The 19408-nt window shown below is 46.0% G+C and overlaps 1 protein-coding gene across 10 annotated transcripts in view, besides 2 other annotated features; it reads right to left on the reverse strand.

Moving 5' to 3' along the window:
- Nucleotides 1–19408, reverse strand: part of ZFHX3 (zinc finger homeobox 3) — a 1109046-nt gene that overhangs the window by 142412 nt on the left and 947226 nt on the right. The gene's annotated exons all lie outside the window — the stretch shown is intronic.
- Nucleotides 11234–11528: an enhancer, noted in NCBI's record as "tiled region #11593; HepG2 Activating DNase matched - State 14:Gen5'". NCBI's record gives its function as "activates a minimal TATA promoter and a strong SV40 promoter by Sharpr-MPRA in HepG2 cells {active_cell/tissue: HepG2}" and the evidence as "EXISTENCE:reporter gene assay evidence [ECO:0000049][PMID:27701403]".
- Nucleotides 13554–13848: an enhancer, noted in NCBI's record as "tiled region #14271; K562 Activating DNase unmatched - State 20:ReprD". NCBI's record gives its function as "activates a minimal TATA promoter and a strong SV40 promoter by Sharpr-MPRA in K562 cells {active_cell/tissue: K562}" and the evidence as "EXISTENCE:reporter gene assay evidence [ECO:0000049][PMID:27701403]".

The following is a 19408-nucleotide window of genomic DNA, read 5'->3' on the forward strand; positions in this document are numbered from 1 at the left end:
GTGAGTCAACTGCGCTTTTACCCTGTCAACGGTTCCATCACTGAGCTAGCTTATACTTTTTAAACACAAAGTTCAACACAAAGAACCTTGAGGTCCCTAACTCTGGAAAGGGCAAGAGAATTCTAGAGGCCCCTGAATGCCAGGAAATTTCAGGAGGTACAGGCATGTCACAGGTCAGGCTAAATGGTCCCCAACCACCGCAGCAATGCTGCATACGCACGCTGTGGGGTCAAGGACAGGTGATCCTGATGGTCACATTTCCCAGGTTTGCTAACAGGCAGCCCATACCTGTGTCCACTTAACCCCGTCCCGTGTCTTTCCCTTATCTTGAGTTGCCTTTCACTTTGAAGCAATGAGGAAAAAGGAATGAATGAAAGCAAATGGACCCGCACAATCATCTACAATAGTCCAGAATTTGTCTAATTTATAGGGCTGGGAAACCAAGTGTCACCTTCGGGCCTACTCCTTCCCTGACCAAACTGCCCAGAGGGGCTGGAACGGGCACCAGCCAAGGGTGGGCAGTGACCATAGCTTTTACGTCCTCTTGAAGACAGGAGGAAAATGCAAAGAGGCACAGACTGCTACTCCCCTGTCCCCCACTACTCATTATATAACACATGTCAGTTTCTTGAAAGGGCCCTATATTTGTGCACGAAAGCATGTTCCCAAGAGTTAACTTATAATTATTACAATAGAGAGGAAGCAGGTAACTGAGACCTATTTTCACGTTACAAACAAAATTCTGTGATCTATTTAAAAAGCACAGGCCTCCCTTTTTATCTTGGAAGTCACTGTTTCTTTTAATTTGGAAACACATCTATCAACTGAAACCTTTAAAAACTTAACAAGGAATAATGTTGTTATGGGTCATGATTATTCTAATGTCTTATCATTTTATTTTGCATATGCCCTTATAGCTAAACTCAAACTAGATGCTAGAATATAATTGCCCATAGTAACCAACTAAACAGTTCCCCTAAGCAATGTGTATTTTTGCGTCTCTGTCTCTCTCACACTCTCACTCTATCCTGCCCGCCCACTCGCTCCCCTTCCCAAGTAACAAAAGCCAGATAAATCCATGGAAGAGGTGAAAGAGCTACAGCGACTCCACTTTCCAAACACTTGTGTGTATTACAACTCTTTAAAAATGAATTACAGAATCCACTTTGAAAAACATATTCGGGCCCTTGTGGAAGTTACCAGTCCTTTCTCAAATGAGCTGGAAGTGTCTCTGATCAACATGAATTGGGGTTCCTTCTTCCTTTTCGGAGTATGGATACTAATTGTTTTAATATGGGCATTATTCGCACATGAAACTAGAATTGCTCAGCACGTGGGAGATAGGTCCCGACCACCCATGGGCATCAAAGATCCCATGACATTTCTGTAAATCAGCCAAATTCCAACACAGACAGCAGGCCCAGCAGTTGCTGTATTCAGATGAGGGGCGATTACATGCTCCTGCCTCTCCTACACAAAGCAGAGACCAATGTTTCTACTCCTGGCCCGTTCTCTGGGTCTATCCTGGCCAACCTCCTCTGGGCACAGCCCATCAGACCTCCAGATGGCTAGTTCTCTCTAGACCACTGACATCCTACACACAAAGGATTACCAAGAAGCCAGCTCCCCCAGGTTTACGAAATTTATAGGAAAGTCTCCAATCAAGAGGTCAGGAGACAGAGAACAGGGTGTTAGGAACCATGAGCTGGAGGAGAGTCCCAGCATAGGGGCTTCTCAGCTGTTCTCACTTGAAATTACCTCTAAAAATCTATTTCCATATTTCTTCCCTGGAATTTCACTTTTAGAATTTGAACATTCAGAACCTTCAGGTCTCCACTCCTTCTTCACTTGGTCAGAGAATTTCACTTGGTCAGTTTCACTTGGTCAGACATTGGTTAAAATAAAATAATTTCCATTTTTAAACAGTAGTAAAAAATTTTTATTTAAATTTGTTTAGACCCACACCAATGAGTCTTCTCCCTGTGTCACAGTAATCCTTCCTCCTTGTCTTCCTTCTCTCTCAATTTCTCAATACCCATCGAGTCTTTCCTTAACAATCCTCCCGATTCATTCTCCCGCTGGGATGGCCAAGTTCTTCTGAGGGCAACACCTGCTCCAGGCCGTGCCCCCTTGGCCTCCTGATTTGCCTTGGAATCTGGAATAAGTCAGTTCTTCTCCAGGTGCAGGTGATGGGGGAAGTGACATCACACCTCACAAAAGGAGGATTTGGGGGAACGTTCAGCCACCGATGCCCTCAATAAAAATATCTCGTGACTTGGACTCAAAGGCAGTGGCCTTCCCAGCGGCCCGCGAGGGGCTGGGAGGTTCCCAGCATGGCACTGGGGCTGGCAGCAGGCCCTCCGCACAGCCCCCCGCCCCTCCGGAGCCGCCCGGGGGAGCTGCAGCAGCCTCTCTGCGCCAGGCACACTCCCAGCATTGTGCTCCCTCCAGCGCGCTCTCCCCCACCAAAAACCCTGAGGCCTCCGGAGTGTACACTAACCACAAGCCTTTGAGTGGCTCATGTATTTACAAACTGAGGCATGTCGAAATCAAAGGGGATACCACATGACATAATTCGCATTAAAATGTCAACAGGCTGACAATTTATAGAGTCAATCCACGGAAGGTGGGGAGGACTAAGACTCAGTAATTGTTTAATTCCTGCTGAAACCCACGGCCACTGTGCCTTTGGAAGCTGGGATGCGCCAGAGGCCTCCAGGCTGCACAGTGCCCCCTGGGGCTGGCACCGTGCCAAGGCCAGGCAACGGGTTTAACCATTTAGGGTGCTCAATGATGTGGAGGATGGGGGGAGGGGAGGGGGAGGGGAGAGAGGGAGGGGGAGGGGAGAGAGGGAGGGGGAGGGGAGAGAGGGAGGGGGAGGGGAGAGAGGGAGGGGGAGGGGAGCGAGGGGGAGCGAAGGGGAGCGAGGGGGAGCGAGAGAGGAAAGGGCTTAAGGGGAAGATGGAAAGAGCGGGTAGGAGGTAGGAGAACAGGTCTTTCCACAATGTGTGCCCAATTGACAAAATGGCTTGGGTTGGTCCCAAAGAGGGAAAGTTGCTGTTGTACCCCTGATATTCCCTTTGCTGTCCATGCATCCAGGACTGGAGATTTGAATACATGCAAAAGCGCCCCCACCACAACCCCTCGGCCCAAGTCTTGGTTTCCTGGCTGTTCTCTGGCAGCACCCGGCTCACCAAGGCACCCTAAGGAGGGGTCAGCGGTGTTTATGATAGGCCCCCAAACTCTAGGCCCAAGCTCCACAGATAAGCAAGAACCAAGTCATGACCCAAACCAGATGCCTGTTCATATAAGATTACCCCTGGAAGACTCTTTGATCTCTTTTACCTCCCTCACCAGTAGCACTGTTCTGATCCACGTAAGATAAAATACAAATTCTTAGGCCAGATATAGTGGCTCAGGCCTGTAATCCCAGTAGGGAGGATGGCTTGAGGTCATGAGTTCAAGACCAACCTGGGCAACACAGCAAGACCCCATCTCTACCATAAAATAAAAAGTTTAGCTGGGTGTGGTGGTATGTGCCTGTAGTCCCAGCTGCTCAGGAGGCTGAGGCAGGAGGATGGCCTGAGCCCAGGAGGTTGAGGCTGCAGTGAGCTAAAATTGCACCACTGCACTCCAGGCTGGACAACAGAATGAGGCTTGGCTGGGTGCGGGAGCTCATGCCTATAACCCCAGCACTTTGGGAGGCCAAGGTGGGCAGATCACTAAAAGTCAGGAGTTCAAGAACAGTCAGGCCAACAGGGAGACACTCCATCTCTACTGAAAATACAAAAATCAGCTGGGTGTGGTGGCACACACCTGTAATCCCAGCTACTCAGGAGGCTGAGGCAGAAAAATTTCTTGAACCTGGGAAGTGGAGGTTGCAGTGAGCCGAGATGGCGCCACTGCACTCCAGCCTGGGCGACAGAGCCGCCAGACCCTGTCTAAAAAAAAAAAAAAAAAAGAGTGAGGTAAAAAATCAAATTCTTACTGCTTAACTCCACCTGGATTTTTGATATTGGTTCTACCTATATGTTAAATTAACTGACCCTTGCTTGGGGAGAGGTCCACCCGGGGGTGAGGGACTGGTGAAAGGGATGCAAAAGCTAAGTTTGAAAAAGCTCTGGGGGTGAAGTGTTTGATCAGCTCCCTCAAATGCACCCCAAGCTCTAAGCCAAGTTTAATCTTTTCATCATTACATGAGAACGATATGTCTAGAGAACACAAATGGTAGAAATAAGACTATTTGGCAAAGCTTACAGGTCATCATCAGGATCTGCATTCCTCAGCCAGGAAAAACTGTGTTCTGAAAGGTGGCCTCGCCCTGTGGCTCTTGCCCCAGAGGATGCCTGGGGCCACGCGGGCTGCGACAGGGCCCTCCACGCAAGCTGGCTGTACATAAACAGTAACACCTCATTCTCTCTTCTACCTCATTAACCGAAACACATTAAAACAAGTGTGCACTGGGAGCAGAAAATGAGACTGTTAAACCAAGCTGACATAATCCTCATCAGCTGTGGGAAAGGAGACCGCATCAATTATGCTGAACCGAATGCAGTCACATGGATGTGCTGGGCTCCCAGCCCCCCAGCATGAAAAGGAGGACAAGAGGAAAAGAAACGTTCACTTAAAAAAGAAAACAGGCTGGGCGCGGTGGCTCACGCCTGTAATCCCAGCACTTTGGGAGGCCGAAGTGGGCGGATCACTGGAGGTCAGGAGTTCAACACCAGCCTGGCCAACATGGTGAAACTCCGTCTCCACTGAAATTACAAAAATTAGCCAGGCGTGGTGGCGGGCGCCTGTAATCCCAGCTACTTGGGAGGCTGAGGCAGGAGAATCACTTGAACACGGGAGGTGGAGGTTGCAGTGAGCTGAGATCTTGCCACTGTACTCCAGCTTGTGTGACAAGAGTGAAACTCAGTCTCAATAGATAAATAAATAAAATAAAATAAAATAATATACTTCATACTCTCCTAACAAACACAGCTTCTCGCCCATTTTTGTCACCCCAAGGGAGGGGAGCGGCATCTGATCAAAACACCCCTTTATGGTTCTTCTGCACCTAAAAATCTTTGCCAAACTATTTGGAATTGGAGGGGAAAAAAGAAAAATAAACATAAGCTTAAAAAAAAAAGAGGACGGGCGATAAGGAGATAATGGATTCTGTGTGATCTCTTGCAGACAGATTTTATAAGTGCAAAGTATCTCGAGGCCCAAAGTCCTAAGACCCGAAATGATCTGAACACAACCCGCTTGTGACATAATGGCAAGGATGCTTCAGAAATTAAAGGGCTATGGAGCAGACAATAGCAATTGAAAGCTACACAGCTATAAAACACAGCCAGCACTTAGCTCTTTCAGCCACTGCCAATAGTGAATAACAGATCAGAACTGATACATTTAGAAATACTCATAAAACCTACTACGGAAGAAAACAAAAATAATGCCTGTACATTGCCAAAATAAGGAAGATTACGGTTCTGGTAAGAATAAATGACCAAATCATTACCTACACGTAAGAAATGCAAAAGACTTGTATATGACAGTCATAAAATGTAAAATGTGGTACAAGGTGCCATCACTGAGCCGTACCCCACATCCTGGACGTTACAATATCATATTTGATAGTAATAACTAACTCACGTGAAATGAGTATTGCTATGCAAAACTTTCTTTTGCATTTCTTCATTTGTGTTCAAATTTGCAACCTTAACATGTTTATTGCCACTGATTTGCATTTCATTTCATAGGTGAAAGTTTCCAAACATAAGCTGTGGACTTATTTCTTATACACCTCTTGACACCAGCATGAAACGTATGTTGCCAAAACTCAGTCCTCCTAGTACCCATTCAATTCACCATTCACATTACAAAGAGCTGCTCTGTTTTTCAAGTATACTTTCCAGATCCACTTATGCATCTAATCATCAGGCAGGTCATGAGCTTGGTGAGATTTTGTTTCTGTTGCACATACTTCGCACATCGTTTCAGATGTTAAAGACGGTTTCGCATTAAGTTCTCCTTCTTTCAAATCAAGAAGGGAGGCATTTCCTCCCACTTGTTGACTCAGAGCTGTAATCAGAGATTCTGGGATTAGCCATTTATTTCATTACACACACACACACACACACACACACACACACACACACACACACACACACACTCTTCAGCTTTCAAAAGAGGTCGGGGGAAGGGAGAAAACAATCATGACTTCAGTAGCCAAGGAGATTAACTTCCAACGTACCGACAGGGAAGAGGAGGGATGCACCATTTAAAAAAAAAAAAAAAAAAGTTTCAGCTGGAGAAAAATTTTGGAATATTTTAAATTAATGGGTAACAAAGGGTTGCCATGGAAACAGTTTTGCATACTTGACTGCAGGTGCTCCCTACAGTGAAGGGAGATTGGGATGATACAGCCACAAGCAAGGACACTGATGTGAACATTAAAGTGAGATTCCTAAGGCAATGTTAAGTCATCCGAGCCACGGACACTGTGGTTTTCGATACAAATGAACTCACTTATGCAACGAGGGTATGTGAGCTTTGCAACACCAGCTAACACTCACTTGCGTCCAGAAGCTGTTCCCCCTTTTACGATATTCTGTGGTATTGCCAAGGTTACAAAATGTAAACAGATACAAACACGAACCATAACAAGAACCAAAGTCAAATATATTCTCGTTTTTCCATCTTTGTCCTCTAAGCTGTGTATTTCTAGATTGTGGCTTTATTTTTTTAGAGTGAATATGCACTAGCTTTAATCAGAAAAATATACATGTAAGGGAATGAAAACTACCAAGGAGTATAGTTCCCCTGAGTGTCCTGTGTACTCTATGCCAGTTTCCAAGCCTACGTTCTAACTTGCATCTAATTTTGGTCACATAAGGGAAATACATGTGTGTTGATGCTTGCAGGAAGTCCTATTTAAAAAGAAACAAACAAATACTGAAACCTCCCAGGTTATGTGGGACAATATGATAAAATTATGTCAGTGAAGGTAACATCATTTCCTTCTCACAACGGATGATGTCTTAGGTACTTCTCAGGGAAGGGGTGGAGCAAGCCATAGCCACAATGCAGCTGGACTTGAATCACTTTCTAATTTTCCTGAGTACTTCACTAGATCACTTTTTGCTCCATTACTTAGGAGAGGAGATGGAGATATCCCTTTGGGAAAAAAAAAAAGTCCTACAAACACACACTTAGTGCTTGAAGGAGACTTAGTGAGGAATCCAAGCTCCACCTCCTTCAGATGAGGCCACTACAGATTGGCCAAGGTTAAATTACTGGCTCAAGGTCATTTCACTAAACATCGGTCATAATCTCTCTTCAGGGAAATTCCATCTCCCTGCTCCGCACCAAAAAAAAAAAAAAAAAAAAAATCCACTGACCTTTCCATTCTCCAAACCAACAGCGTGTCAAGTTCAAAGCTAATTAAAACCAAATTATAAAAATAACGTCAGTTGTGTGGTCTAAGAAGACGATGGGAAATCTAATGCAGAAAAGCAGAGTCCTTAACACCTTTCTGATGCTATATGCAGACTGCGTCTAGGTGCATTTCATGTATTATCTCATTTAAGTCATTCGAGAGTCCTATCAAAGCAAGTCATTCTATTAGCCCATTTTACAGATGATGAACAAACAGGAATTAAGTCCCAGGAGCTGGGATTCAAACCCAGGCAGCCTGACACCAGGCATCTTCTCCCTCCTTAAAACCCCAAGAGCTATCTGGGTTTCCTTTAAGACGCATGGACATCCTATCTTAAATTTTTCTAGTCTGCAGCACCCACTGAGCCCCACTCCACCTGCCACACCAACATGTGCCCGGCATCTCGTGGGCATCCAGACACCTCCTGAATGGTCAGATCCCATTAGATTTCCATGGCCTCTCCCGCAGTAGCTTGAGCGCTCTTAACCAGGTATGTTACTACCTCTAGTGAAATGTATGCCCTCGTCTGCAAAAACAGAAATAACCAATCTGAGCCCTGTCTTCAGAGACACAACAGATCATCATTACTACTCTCCCAGAGGAGTAGGAAGGTGGAGGGGAGGACAGCAGGGATTGAGAAGAGACCTCGAAGCTTCTACACAGTGGAGCCGAGAGAGGAGAGAACATTTCACCATTAGGTTTTAGTATTTTACCCTCACATTGCATTATGAACATCTCCAACCAAGGAGATGAGTTGAAAAAAAAATCATACAGTAGACACTTAAGTATCCACCACCCAGCTGCTGAAATTAATGCTTTGCTGTCTATTTTACAGCCTTCTCTTTATCCTGCTATCAATGTGCCTTACATCTTTTATTCATTCCAAAGTAAACTGCAGAAGCAGTACACTCCACCCCTCCCCCTACTCCAGCATGCACAGCCTCAACTACAGTTTTCTTTTTGTTTATGGGTTTTTATTGTAGTTTTATTATTTTAATAGATCACGTGAGCAGACTTCCTGACTAGCAAAACACTAAAAAGACCCAAACTCCAGTGTGTTGTTATTATGAAATGTTTAGCTCACAACTTTCTTTTTTTTTTTTTTTTTTTTTTTGAGACAGAGTCTCGCTCTGTCGCCCAGGCTGTAGTGCAGTGTCGCGATCTCGGCTCACTGCAAGCTCTGCCTCCCGGGTTCATGCCATTCTCCCACCTCAGCCTCCCGAGTAGCTGGGACTGCAGGTGCCCTCCACCACGCCCAGCTAATTTTTTGTATTTTTAGTAGAGATGGGGTTTCACCGTGTTAGCCAGGATGGCCTCCATCTCCTGACCTGGTGATCCACCTATCTCAGCCTCCCAAAGTGCTAGGATTACAGAGGTTAGCCACCACGCCCGGCCACAGCTTTCTTTTAAAAGTTAGAGTAGGCTAGGCGTGATGGCTCAGCCTGTAATTCCAATACTTTAGGAGGCTGAGGCAGGAGGATCACTTGAGGTCAGGAGTTCGAGACCAGCCTGGCCAACATGGTAAAACCCCGTGTCTGTTAAAAATACAAAAAAAGTTAGCCGGGCCTGGTGGCGGGCGCCTGTAATCCCAGCTACTTGGGAGGCTGAGGCAGGAGAATCACTTGAACCCGGGAGGCGAAGCTTGCACTGAGCTGAGATCACACCATTGCATTCCTGCCTGGGTGACAAGGCGAGACTCTCTCAAAAAAATAAAACAGAGTAGTATCCACAAGTATGTGAGAAGAAGTTCCAGTTATTAAAATTATTTTAGTACCATAGCCACAGGTTCAGTAAGTACAAGAATGAATCTGCCTTTGTCCTCTGTCTAGTTCACCTTTCTATATGATTCTACCCTCTTTAAATCTTGCTCAAACTCCAGCTTGCCCCTCCCTCCCAGAGGTCTTTTTGGATCTAACCAGTTGGGTGTGGCTGCTCCCTCCCTTCACCTTCATAACTCTTGTGTCCGCATTTGACGGCTCTTACTGAATGATCAATTCCTCTTTGTATTACGTATCACAGTAATACAGTTTCTTAAACTGTGGATCATGACCCATTAGTGCAGTGGTTCTCAAACTGCAGCCGCACATCAGAATCCGACAGTAAATGAAACCACAACCTCTGGGGGTCAAGCCAGGCAGGCGTAGTTTTTTAAAGGCCCCTGGGCTAAGAGTCGCTGGATTACGAAATCAGGATCATGTCAGGGGATCATGAAATCCATGCTGTGAGTACAACCAGCATTTGTAAAACAAAACAGAATTGAATGTAATAGAAAGCATCAGAATGTAGCACCTGCAGTAAGGATAAAATCATTCTGCACAATTTCTGTTTTAGTCAAATATACAGAATATCTAGCTATATGTATGTGCTGGGTCACTCATGTAAAATGCATTTCTTTTTAGATTATCGTCAACAAAGTTTAAAAGTCACTGCCCTAAAGAAGCAAGGACGTTATCCTGCGCATAGCGGGTGCTCAAGGACGTGTGGCTTGTACATGGGACAGGAGGAGAGAAGCAGGTCAGAGCTTCTCTCACTGGGAATATGTTCTGCCACCAAAAATGTGGTTCTCAGGGCGGGGGACAATCAGATATGGGACTAAGTAAGCATCATTCAGACAAAGACGCTCGCCCAAGGATAAGGGAACGAAAGCAGGAGAGGAGCCTCTAGGGAAACTGAGGGAGGAGGCGACTCGGGGCTGCCCCTAATCTTTAAATTTCTATGTTTAAGATTCCGTCTTTTGGCCGGGTGCGGTAGCTCACACCTGTAATCCCAGCATTTTGGGAGGCAGAGGCAGGCGGATCGCCCGAGGTCAGGAGTTCGAGACCAGACTGGGCAACTTGGTGAAACCCCATCACTACTAAAAATACAAACATTAGCTGGGCATGGTGGCATGTGCCTGTAGTCCCAGCTACTCGGAAGGCTGAGAATCGCTTGAACTCGGGAGGGGGGGGTTGCAGTGAGCTGAGATCACGCCACTGCACTCCAGCCTGGGCGACAGAGTGACACTCTGTCTTAAAAAAAAAAAAAAAATCCATCTTTTGCCATCAAATCATCAGGCGACACTTGCTGATAGTCTACCTAATATCCCCAAGACCCTGGGAAGGCTACAAAGTTGGGTGAGAATAAACAGATCCCACCGGTAAGGATCTTACAACTAAGCAGAGAAGAAAGACCACTAAAAATATGGTCTATCATAAGAATGGGAAAGGAACAAGGCATTTTGATGAGAGTGCTGGGGAGAAAGAGCAGTGATTTTAGTTGGCAGAATTTGGGCGGACAGAGCCGAAACTCACGGGTGGCCAGCAGCACGTGGGAATTTTCAAAGTAATTTGACACCAGCTGCATGATCTTGCCAGGGCTGTGTCTCAGGGGTCAGTACAGGAACAGAGCTGTGTGTGAAGCTGATGGTAAATGACCTGGGCTGCAGAAGCTCTGCAATGACCTGGTCCACACAAGCCATCCACTTTACACCAACATATGCCTTAGGGCTCTACCTTATGAAATGCCAAGTGTGCGCATGAGGCTGTTGTACCTGTTCTAGCACAGGGCAGAAGCACGGCATGCTCTGCTGGTACCCTATGGTTCAATATTTATTGAGCTGGTGTCACACACTGTTCTAAGCATTAGGGACAGAGCTGTTAATGGGGCAACGTAGGTCTCTGCTGTCTTGGCAGACAACTAAATTAATGAACAGACAAGAAAAATAAATATAATCACTGTCAATGCAGAGAAGTTATCTTGAGTGAAGTGATGGTGTAGCTCCTTGAGACTGGGTTGTCAGGGAAAGCCTCTTTGACGACCAGATATTGAATGAGAGCTGAATGTCAAGGTCAAGGAGGTACATACACTCAGTAGAACAGCAAGTGCAAAGGCCCTGTGGCAGGCGCCAGCTTAGCATGTTGAATGAACAGAGAAGGCTGCTGTGGCTGCAGTGTAGGGGGCAAAGGGGAGAGGGTTGTAAAATGAGGTCAGCATGGTGGGAGGAGTTCAGATCACAAAGGAGCTTGTAAGCCACAGTACAAAGGTGAGCTTTTATCTTAAGTGAGGTGGAAAGCCTTTGTGGGGTCTTTGCAAGAGAGTGATATGACCTGATTTTCCTCTTCGTAAAATCCCTGTATGGAGAGGGGATTGTAAAGGGCAAGAGTAGAGGCGGGGGAGAGTTGAAATACAGAGAGACGATGGGGGCTGGCCTGGGAGGGTGGTGGTGCAAATGTATTTTTGAAGGAAGCACCCACAGAACTTGCTGATGGTTTGGCTGTAGGGGAGCAAAAGACAAGGAGCCCCACAGATAGTTCCCAGCTTTTTGGGTTAAGCAAATGATATGCTGGAGGTGGCCCTAACCGAGATGGGGGAGCCCATAAGCATTTGGGGGTTCTGGTCACAGAGTCCTTTCTGCACCATGCTAAGCCTGCGGAGTTCATTCTCAGACATTCGAATGCAAATGCCAGGTGGGGAGCTGGATACAGGAAGAGGCCTAGGCTAGGGACAGATTCAGATGTCATCAGAAAGTAGATGGGGTTTAAAACCACTGGACTGAATGAGATACTTAGGGAGAGTTACAGACAGAAAAAAGAAGGGGCTCTGGGACAAGCCTGGGGGCATAATAACACTCATCGTGAAGTCACAGAAGAGAAGCCAACAGAGATAGACAAAGGGCAAGAGTGGCAAAGGCGGCTGAAAGGTCCGGCGAATTAGGACACAGCCGACAGAGTCAGCAACACAGAAACCACTGGCGACCTGTCCTACTAGTGGTGAAAAGTGTCACTTCTGGATCCAGCAACTGGGAGGGGACATGGTGAGTCAACTCCCAGAGTGGGCATGATTCAGAGTGAGGGGTTGCTGGGCAATGCGGCCTTGGGCCTTGGGTGCCAGCCCCCATGGAGGACCAGGTGACTTCCATGAGTACAGGCTGCCAGCTTCAGGGCCACCGCCATGCTACACCCCGCAGCTGCTCCCACGCCACCTGCAGAAGGCAGTACCTTTCCATCCTCTCTGTTCCACTTCTACCACTGCAGAGGGAAGGAAGGAAAACACCATCTCCTCTCACTTCCTGACCTTCCTCCTCTGCCTCCAAGAGCCTTTTTTTGGTTTGTTTGTCCTATGCACGACTTTTTCAGTTTTCCAACAATCACTGGTGTCCTATACTTCTTAACCCTCCACTTGTAAAACAACACCTTTCAGACACTCCTCAGCTACTTTTCTTGCAAAGAAACTTGCTGTCAGTAAAGACAAGAGAGTAAATGGAGAGAAACGGATAACCACCTGCTGATGTCTACTTGTGCTGCATTCTTGAGAAACTCACAAAACTGAAGGCAATCCAGGTCCTCAAGAGGTTTACGAACCAGTTGGTGAAACCACCTAGCACATGACGCAGAGACCAGCGTGGTGCCAAACAGTGTGACACCCGTGTGGGGCAGAGATGCCGTGTGTGGGTACAGCAGCTGGAGAGACAGTTCTGGAAAACCAGGGATATGTCACTAGAGCATAAAAGATGGACAGGAAATATGCTCTTCCTTAAAGTCTGATTAAAAAATAAAAGATACTTTCCAACAGGGCCCCGTGCCCATCTCAGCAACGCAGGGCGTGTGTAACCAAATCACACAGAAATGAGCACTTAAAATGACATCTGTTGGATTAATTAGCTGTGTAATTAGTCTCCCCTCAGCGGAGCTGGGCTTTGTGGCTGTTGTCTGAAATCTCCCCAGGTGACTTGATTCCAAATGCCACACTCCAAGAGGAAGAAAGCACAGGCCAGGAAAAGAAGACAGGCGTCCGAATGTGTTTGCGGGAGGCAGCGGGAAGGGAGAGGGAGTTTCTGGAGAATTTGGTGGGTCCCTCGGGAAGCTAGCTAGAACATCAGGGAGGAATAGCCATCCACAGAGGTGTCACTCGAGAACTCACCACCTCAGAGCAAATCGGCACGCCCCCAAGGCATGAGTTTTGGATAACCCCAAAGCACTAAACACTCAGAGACATGAATTAGGGCGGCAAGACCCTGGAGGTGAAGAGAGCCGAGTATGGATTCCGAGTTGGACACAAAGAGACGGGACAGAGGTCAGAGCTCTTGTCCCTGGAGGAGTTGTTTGGTCTTCCTCCGCTGACAGCTGCAGCCATCACTAATGTGAACCCAGTCTGGGCAAAAAAAAATTAATAATGAAAATGGTCAGAGCCTAATCTGAGAACCAGAAAGTGAACAACCACGCACAAACAGAAGTCTCCAGCCAAATCACTCCCCACAGTGCTTCCTCAAGCACAGCTGGCTTCGGAGTCACACTTGCTGACTCATGTCTAGGACACATAGCCCTGGGACCCGCGCCACTTGGCCTGGCTCACTAGAGGAGCCGAGGAATATTCCCCATGCTTCTCTATCTATAATTATTTTAGAAAACAAGAGACATGGCGGTAGAGGGGAAGTATAGAAGACAAAGGCACAGGAGCTATGGGAGGACCACAGTGAAAACCATCTTGGAGCAGGGGACTCCTCAGCTGGGGACGAGCCAGTGGGGTTACCTTTGATCTCCCCCACCCCCATCTCGAGGCACAGAGTACCCTCCACAGAGCAAAAACATCCGATGCTGCTCAGAGAACCTTCCTGGGCCTGCGACAATGAGCAGTTCGTAAAGAATCTGGAACATGAAACATTCAAATCAAACAAGCCCTGTTCGAAACCAGCAAGACATGTTCTAAAGCTAGATGGAGCCACTCTGCTAAGACACTCCCTGCCATAAACACAATCGGAGCTCCTCCCAGATCTTCAGTAGCGCCAACAGGCATCTGCAGGACCACTGCAGTGACACAGACTCGCTCCCAAGGGCAAAAGGGGTCTGGGAGCAAACACCAAACCCCGACATTATCATTCTCATTGTCCCGAAGGCCCATAGATACAGGCTGGGTGCAGTGGCTCAGGCCTGTAATCCCAGCACTTTGGGAGGCCCAAGTGGGCGGATCACTTGAGGTCAGGAGTTCGAGACCAGCCTGGCCAACACGGTGAAACCCTGTCTCTACTAAAAACACAAAAATTAGCCGGGTATGGTGGCAGGCGCCTGTAATCCCAGCTACTTGGGAGGCTGAGGCAGGAGAATCACTTGAACCCGGGAGGCAGAGGTTGTGTGCAGTGCTGTGATCATGGCTCACTGCAGCCTTGACCTCCTCGGCTCAAGCAATCCTCCCACCGCAGCCCTCTCATGTAGCTGGGACTATAAGCACCACCACACCCTGATAATTTTTTTATTTTTTGTAGAGATGAGGTCTGGCTATGTTGCCCAGGCTGGTCTTGAACTCTCAGGCTCAGCTGATCCTCCCACCTCAGTCCCCACTGCAGCTAGGACCAGAGGTGTGTGCCGCCACACCTGGCTAATTTTTTAAATTTTTTTATAGAGACAGGGTCTGTTTATGTTGCCCAGGCTGGTCTTGAACTCCCGGGCTCAAGTGGTTCTCCTGCCTCAGCCTCCCTGTGTTGAGTTTACAGGTGTGAGCCATGGCCCCAAACAAGTTTTTTAGTAACACATTACACATTCGTGAGCCTGAGTCTGTACAAAATCCTACTTCAATGGCCAGCACAAAATCAGTACTCCACAAATGTTGTTGACCCAGGGAACGAAGACCCCTTCCCAGTGATTTCAGTCTCCCAGAAGCTGCACAGGGAAATCTGGGAAATCCTGTGCCTCTTGGGTCCTGAGGGCTGGGGTCTGAACCCATGGGAGGAGAAGAAGTCAGGGTAGCCAATGCAAGGATGCCTTCCACCCAGAACCCAGACTTCTGTCTCATTCTGAGGGGCAGCAGGAAGACACGGATGCCCCGGTGTGACACGTGCCACCAAGAAAACTCCACAGAGGTCAGCTCAGAAGGGGTTAGAAAGGTCCAGTCATCCTCCAGGAAGAGCATACTGCCAGCGACAGAAGACAGGAAGAGAGACTCAAAAGGAACAGCAGGTGGGTGTAAACCCCTTCAGCAACCCCAGTGCACAGGCCGGCCCTGCCAAGGCAATGTGGGTATCACTGTTGACCTAAGAGACTGGCTATGCTTTGGAGGCTCTCATCCTGAGTCCGGGAACATGCTCCACTCATTAACAGGTTACAAACCAAACACTATCAGTAGATAAACATTTCTAACCTTCTAACTAGTTTGCCTTTTACAGAACCAGGAGGGGGACCCTAGAGAACATCTCCTAATCATTCTTGATGATTAGTCCCAATTTAAACCTACTCTCTGCATTCCCTATTAGCGACCTATACACCATAGGCACACAGGGTCTCCCACGCACTGTGAGCAATGCTCACGTGCTGTGAATTTTCATGGTCTACATATAAGTAACCAGTGCAGGAGGAGACCAAGAAGGCCTGGAGTGAACCAGGGGCAGCTTCAACATCTGGCCAAGTTGCTGGTGACCGAACCAGGCCTCCTGATGTCCACTGTGTGACGCAAAGGCATTTCAATAAAAGGGACTCATGAAAAAAATGACTGAAAAGTAAGTTTGAACAAACAGCTCTAGAGAAAATTTCAGATTTCTTTATAGGAAAGCATTTTACTTAACACACAAAATGTGAATATTGGATAGGACACTTTTCTATAAATAACAAAAACTGGATATCATCATTAGAGGCATTTGTAAATTTCTTTTGTTGGGAACCACTGGAAGAAAACGGGTTTCACAAACAAGGAAGCCACATAGCTCTCTTTACACTTCTATAGAGCCTGCTGGCAGGTCATTATGAACAAATTTCTAGGCTATCCAGAGGTAGAGCTGCTAAACAAAACACGGGATGCCCAGTTAAATGTGAATTTCAGGTAAGTGTAAGTATAATTTATGAGATACACTTACACAAAACATCATTGTTGCTTATCTGAAATTTACGTTTGGAGGCCAAGGTAGGAGGACCACTTGAGCCCAGGAGTTTGAGACCAGCCTGGGCAACATAGTGAGACCCTGTTTCTATTTTTTTTTAATGTCATATAAATTTCTTTTTATACAAAGAAAAAGAATGAAATTCACATCACTGAGAATTCCACAGTTTTCTTTGCTGTATTTGCCAACACCATCCCAAGTCACCACCCTAATGTTGCTAGTTTCTACAGTCGCCAGTATTTCTATGAGTGACAGATTTTCTGCCATTAGAAAATTTTAACTTTCATTCTACATCCCGGCTGCTGTAAGTGCTAAAAATCAATTTCTGTTAAGTATTAAATATATACTTACTCAATACTACCGAAATGGTTTTCATAGTAACAGCCTTTCCCACCCTACACTTACTAGTATTTACAGTTTCAACTGATGTGTAAAACAGAATAAAGTACATGGTTCAGGTGGATCATATAATTATTTAAAAACTCTTGCCTTTTCCTGACTATGTTCCTGACAATGCCTAATTGTTCCCTTATGATTTCCCTTTCAAAACAAAAAAACCAGAAACACCTGTTGGGACTAGACGTATTCAAATCTGCCCTTTGAGTCCAAGTCCTCAGCAAGTTGAAAGAATTCAACATTGAGTTCACACCTTTGCCCCATTATGTGGCACCTGCCATATTGGCTTTCCTGCCAGAGTGTGTTTACCTAAAACAACCGTAACACAACGCATTATCCTGGAATGCAGAAGCAACGGAATATTTGCACAAAATTCTCCTAAGGGTTACAGACCACCCCTAAGACGGCAGATGTCATTTATGCGAAGAATTCCACGGTGTGACTTATTCCTCTGGATGGGTGGGGGGTAGGTGAAGGTACTGGAAGTTTGAGGTTTCTCTCTCATAAGAAGGTCCAGGGCTTTCTAAATAGAGAATCGGGGGGATTCGTAAATATTTTGACAAAGTGGTAGCTATTAGACTTTCTGAAATTAGACCTCCTTGCTGCTCAGCCTAAGTCAGGGGCCATGGTATACCTTTGGAATCCAAAAGGAGACTTGTAACCAGTACCTGAAAACAGTTTATACTGGAAATATGTCGACAGAGTCATGAAATTTATATGCTATTTACGTAAGAACTTCAGGAAAGGGAATTTCCATGGCTTTCAGAATTTGTTCCTGACCCCTTTTTTAAGATAAATGGTGAGATCCACAGTCTCCATTAAGGTGCCCTAAAAACCCAGCTCCTCTTTGCAGACTCTGTTTCTTCTGGAAACTCTCTCATCCTGGAGAGTTCAATGAAGGCAAACTAATCTAAGAAATTTTCTTTTGGGGAACATGCCAGAGAGAAATAGGAAAAGGTGAGAGGAAGGCGTTTGGTCCACAGACTCCAAATGCCAGGAAAGAGAGCCAGGCCTTTCCATCCCTTCTTCTTGTTCCCCAGTGTCTCCGAAGACAGTATTCCGTAAATATGTTCTGATTTACCTAAATCTGTGGATCATTCACAAGAGGTTCTGCAAGACGTAAGAGAATGGAGAATGAGAAACAGCTTTTCACACCAGCTAGGAAAGGCTGGTTATTTAAGCAATCGTTGTACAGCTAGCCATTGAATTTGAAGGAAAATAAAGAGTCCTAAATCACACTGCATAGTCTTACAACTATACAAAAAATATATTCCTGAAAAGTCACAAATAGGGCCAGGCGTGGGGGCTCACACCTGTAATCTCGGCACTCTAGGAGGCCAAGGTGGGTGGATCACCCAAGTTCAGGAGTTTGAGACCAGCCTGGCCACCATGGCAAAACCCCATCTCTACTAAAAGTACAAAAATTAGCGGGTGTGGTAGTGGGCACCTGTAATTCCAGCTACTCAGGAGGGTGAGGCATGAGAATCACTTGAACCCAGAGGCGGAGGTTGCAATGAGCTGAGATCACGCCACTGCACTCCAGCCTGGGTGACAGAGTGAGACCCAGTCTCAAAAAAACAGAAAACAAAAACAAAAAACTGCATGACAAAAAATGTTCCCCCATCTACATTAGAACAATGAAAAGGGACTTACTTTAGAACAATGTTGTCAATCTGACAATGAAAATGGAAAAACAACAACACGGTGTTGGTCACTGTGTGGGAGTCTGGCCGTCACTTACTGGGGAAGGATGACATGGCCACCTGCTTTCTGAAAGGCCACTGGGAAGTGCTGCATCTACTGGCATTAGGTCCTGGGACCCAACAACCCCACTTCATGGTGTGTGTAGAGAATCATGTTCCTAGCTCATTATCTGCAGTATCCAAACCCTGCACATAACCTCAAGGTACATCAAAAAGGAGCTGGTTAATAAAGGAAATACTATGTCGACATTAAAAAGAGTATCTACATGTACTGACCTAAAATGATTTTCATAAAAAGTATCTATATGTACTGACCTAAAAGTATCTATATCTACTGACCTAAAAGATTTTCCTGAATAAAACAAACTGACACTTTGGGAGGCCGAGGTGGGTGGATCGTGCTTGAGCCCAGGGGTTCAAGACCAGCCTAGGCAAAATGTCGAAATCCTGTCTCTATGAAGAATACAAAAAATTAGCTGGGTGTGGTGGTGTGCACCTGTGGTCCCAGCAACTTGGGAGGCTGAGGTGGGAGAATCACTTGAGCCTGGGAGGCAGACGTTGCAGCCAGCCGAGATCACGCCACTGCACTCCCATGTGAGCGACAGAGTGAGACCCTGTCTCAAAAAACAAAATAAAGCAAAATTGAAACCACAGCATGTGTCTATAAAGATTTTTAAAAATGAACAGTATGTGTGTGTGTACAGATACATACACACATGCATTTTCATCTACAGAAGCACAGAAAAGAGCACAAAATATCAACTACATGTAACAGTGGGTTTGCCTCTGGACAGTAAAGTCAGAAAGTAGACAAAAGACATCCACTTTAAAAATCATTGGAAAATACTTAAAGATGTAAAAAAGGTCTCAGGTATTACACAACGTCATTCCAATTTTGTAAAATTCCTATGTTACATGCAAAAATAAAAATCCATCACATGGTAGGATTAACCAGATATATTTACTTTCTTTTTTATTCCTGGATTTTTCCAAATTTTTTTACAGTGAACATGCATTACTCATATTACTTTAACTGTAAAA

Source organism: Homo sapiens, chromosome 16 (assembly GCF_000001405.40).
Source record: "Homo sapiens chromosome 16, GRCh38.p14 Primary Assembly".
In the NCBI taxonomy this organism is placed as follows: Eukaryota; Metazoa; Chordata; class Mammalia; order Primates; family Hominidae; genus Homo; species Homo sapiens.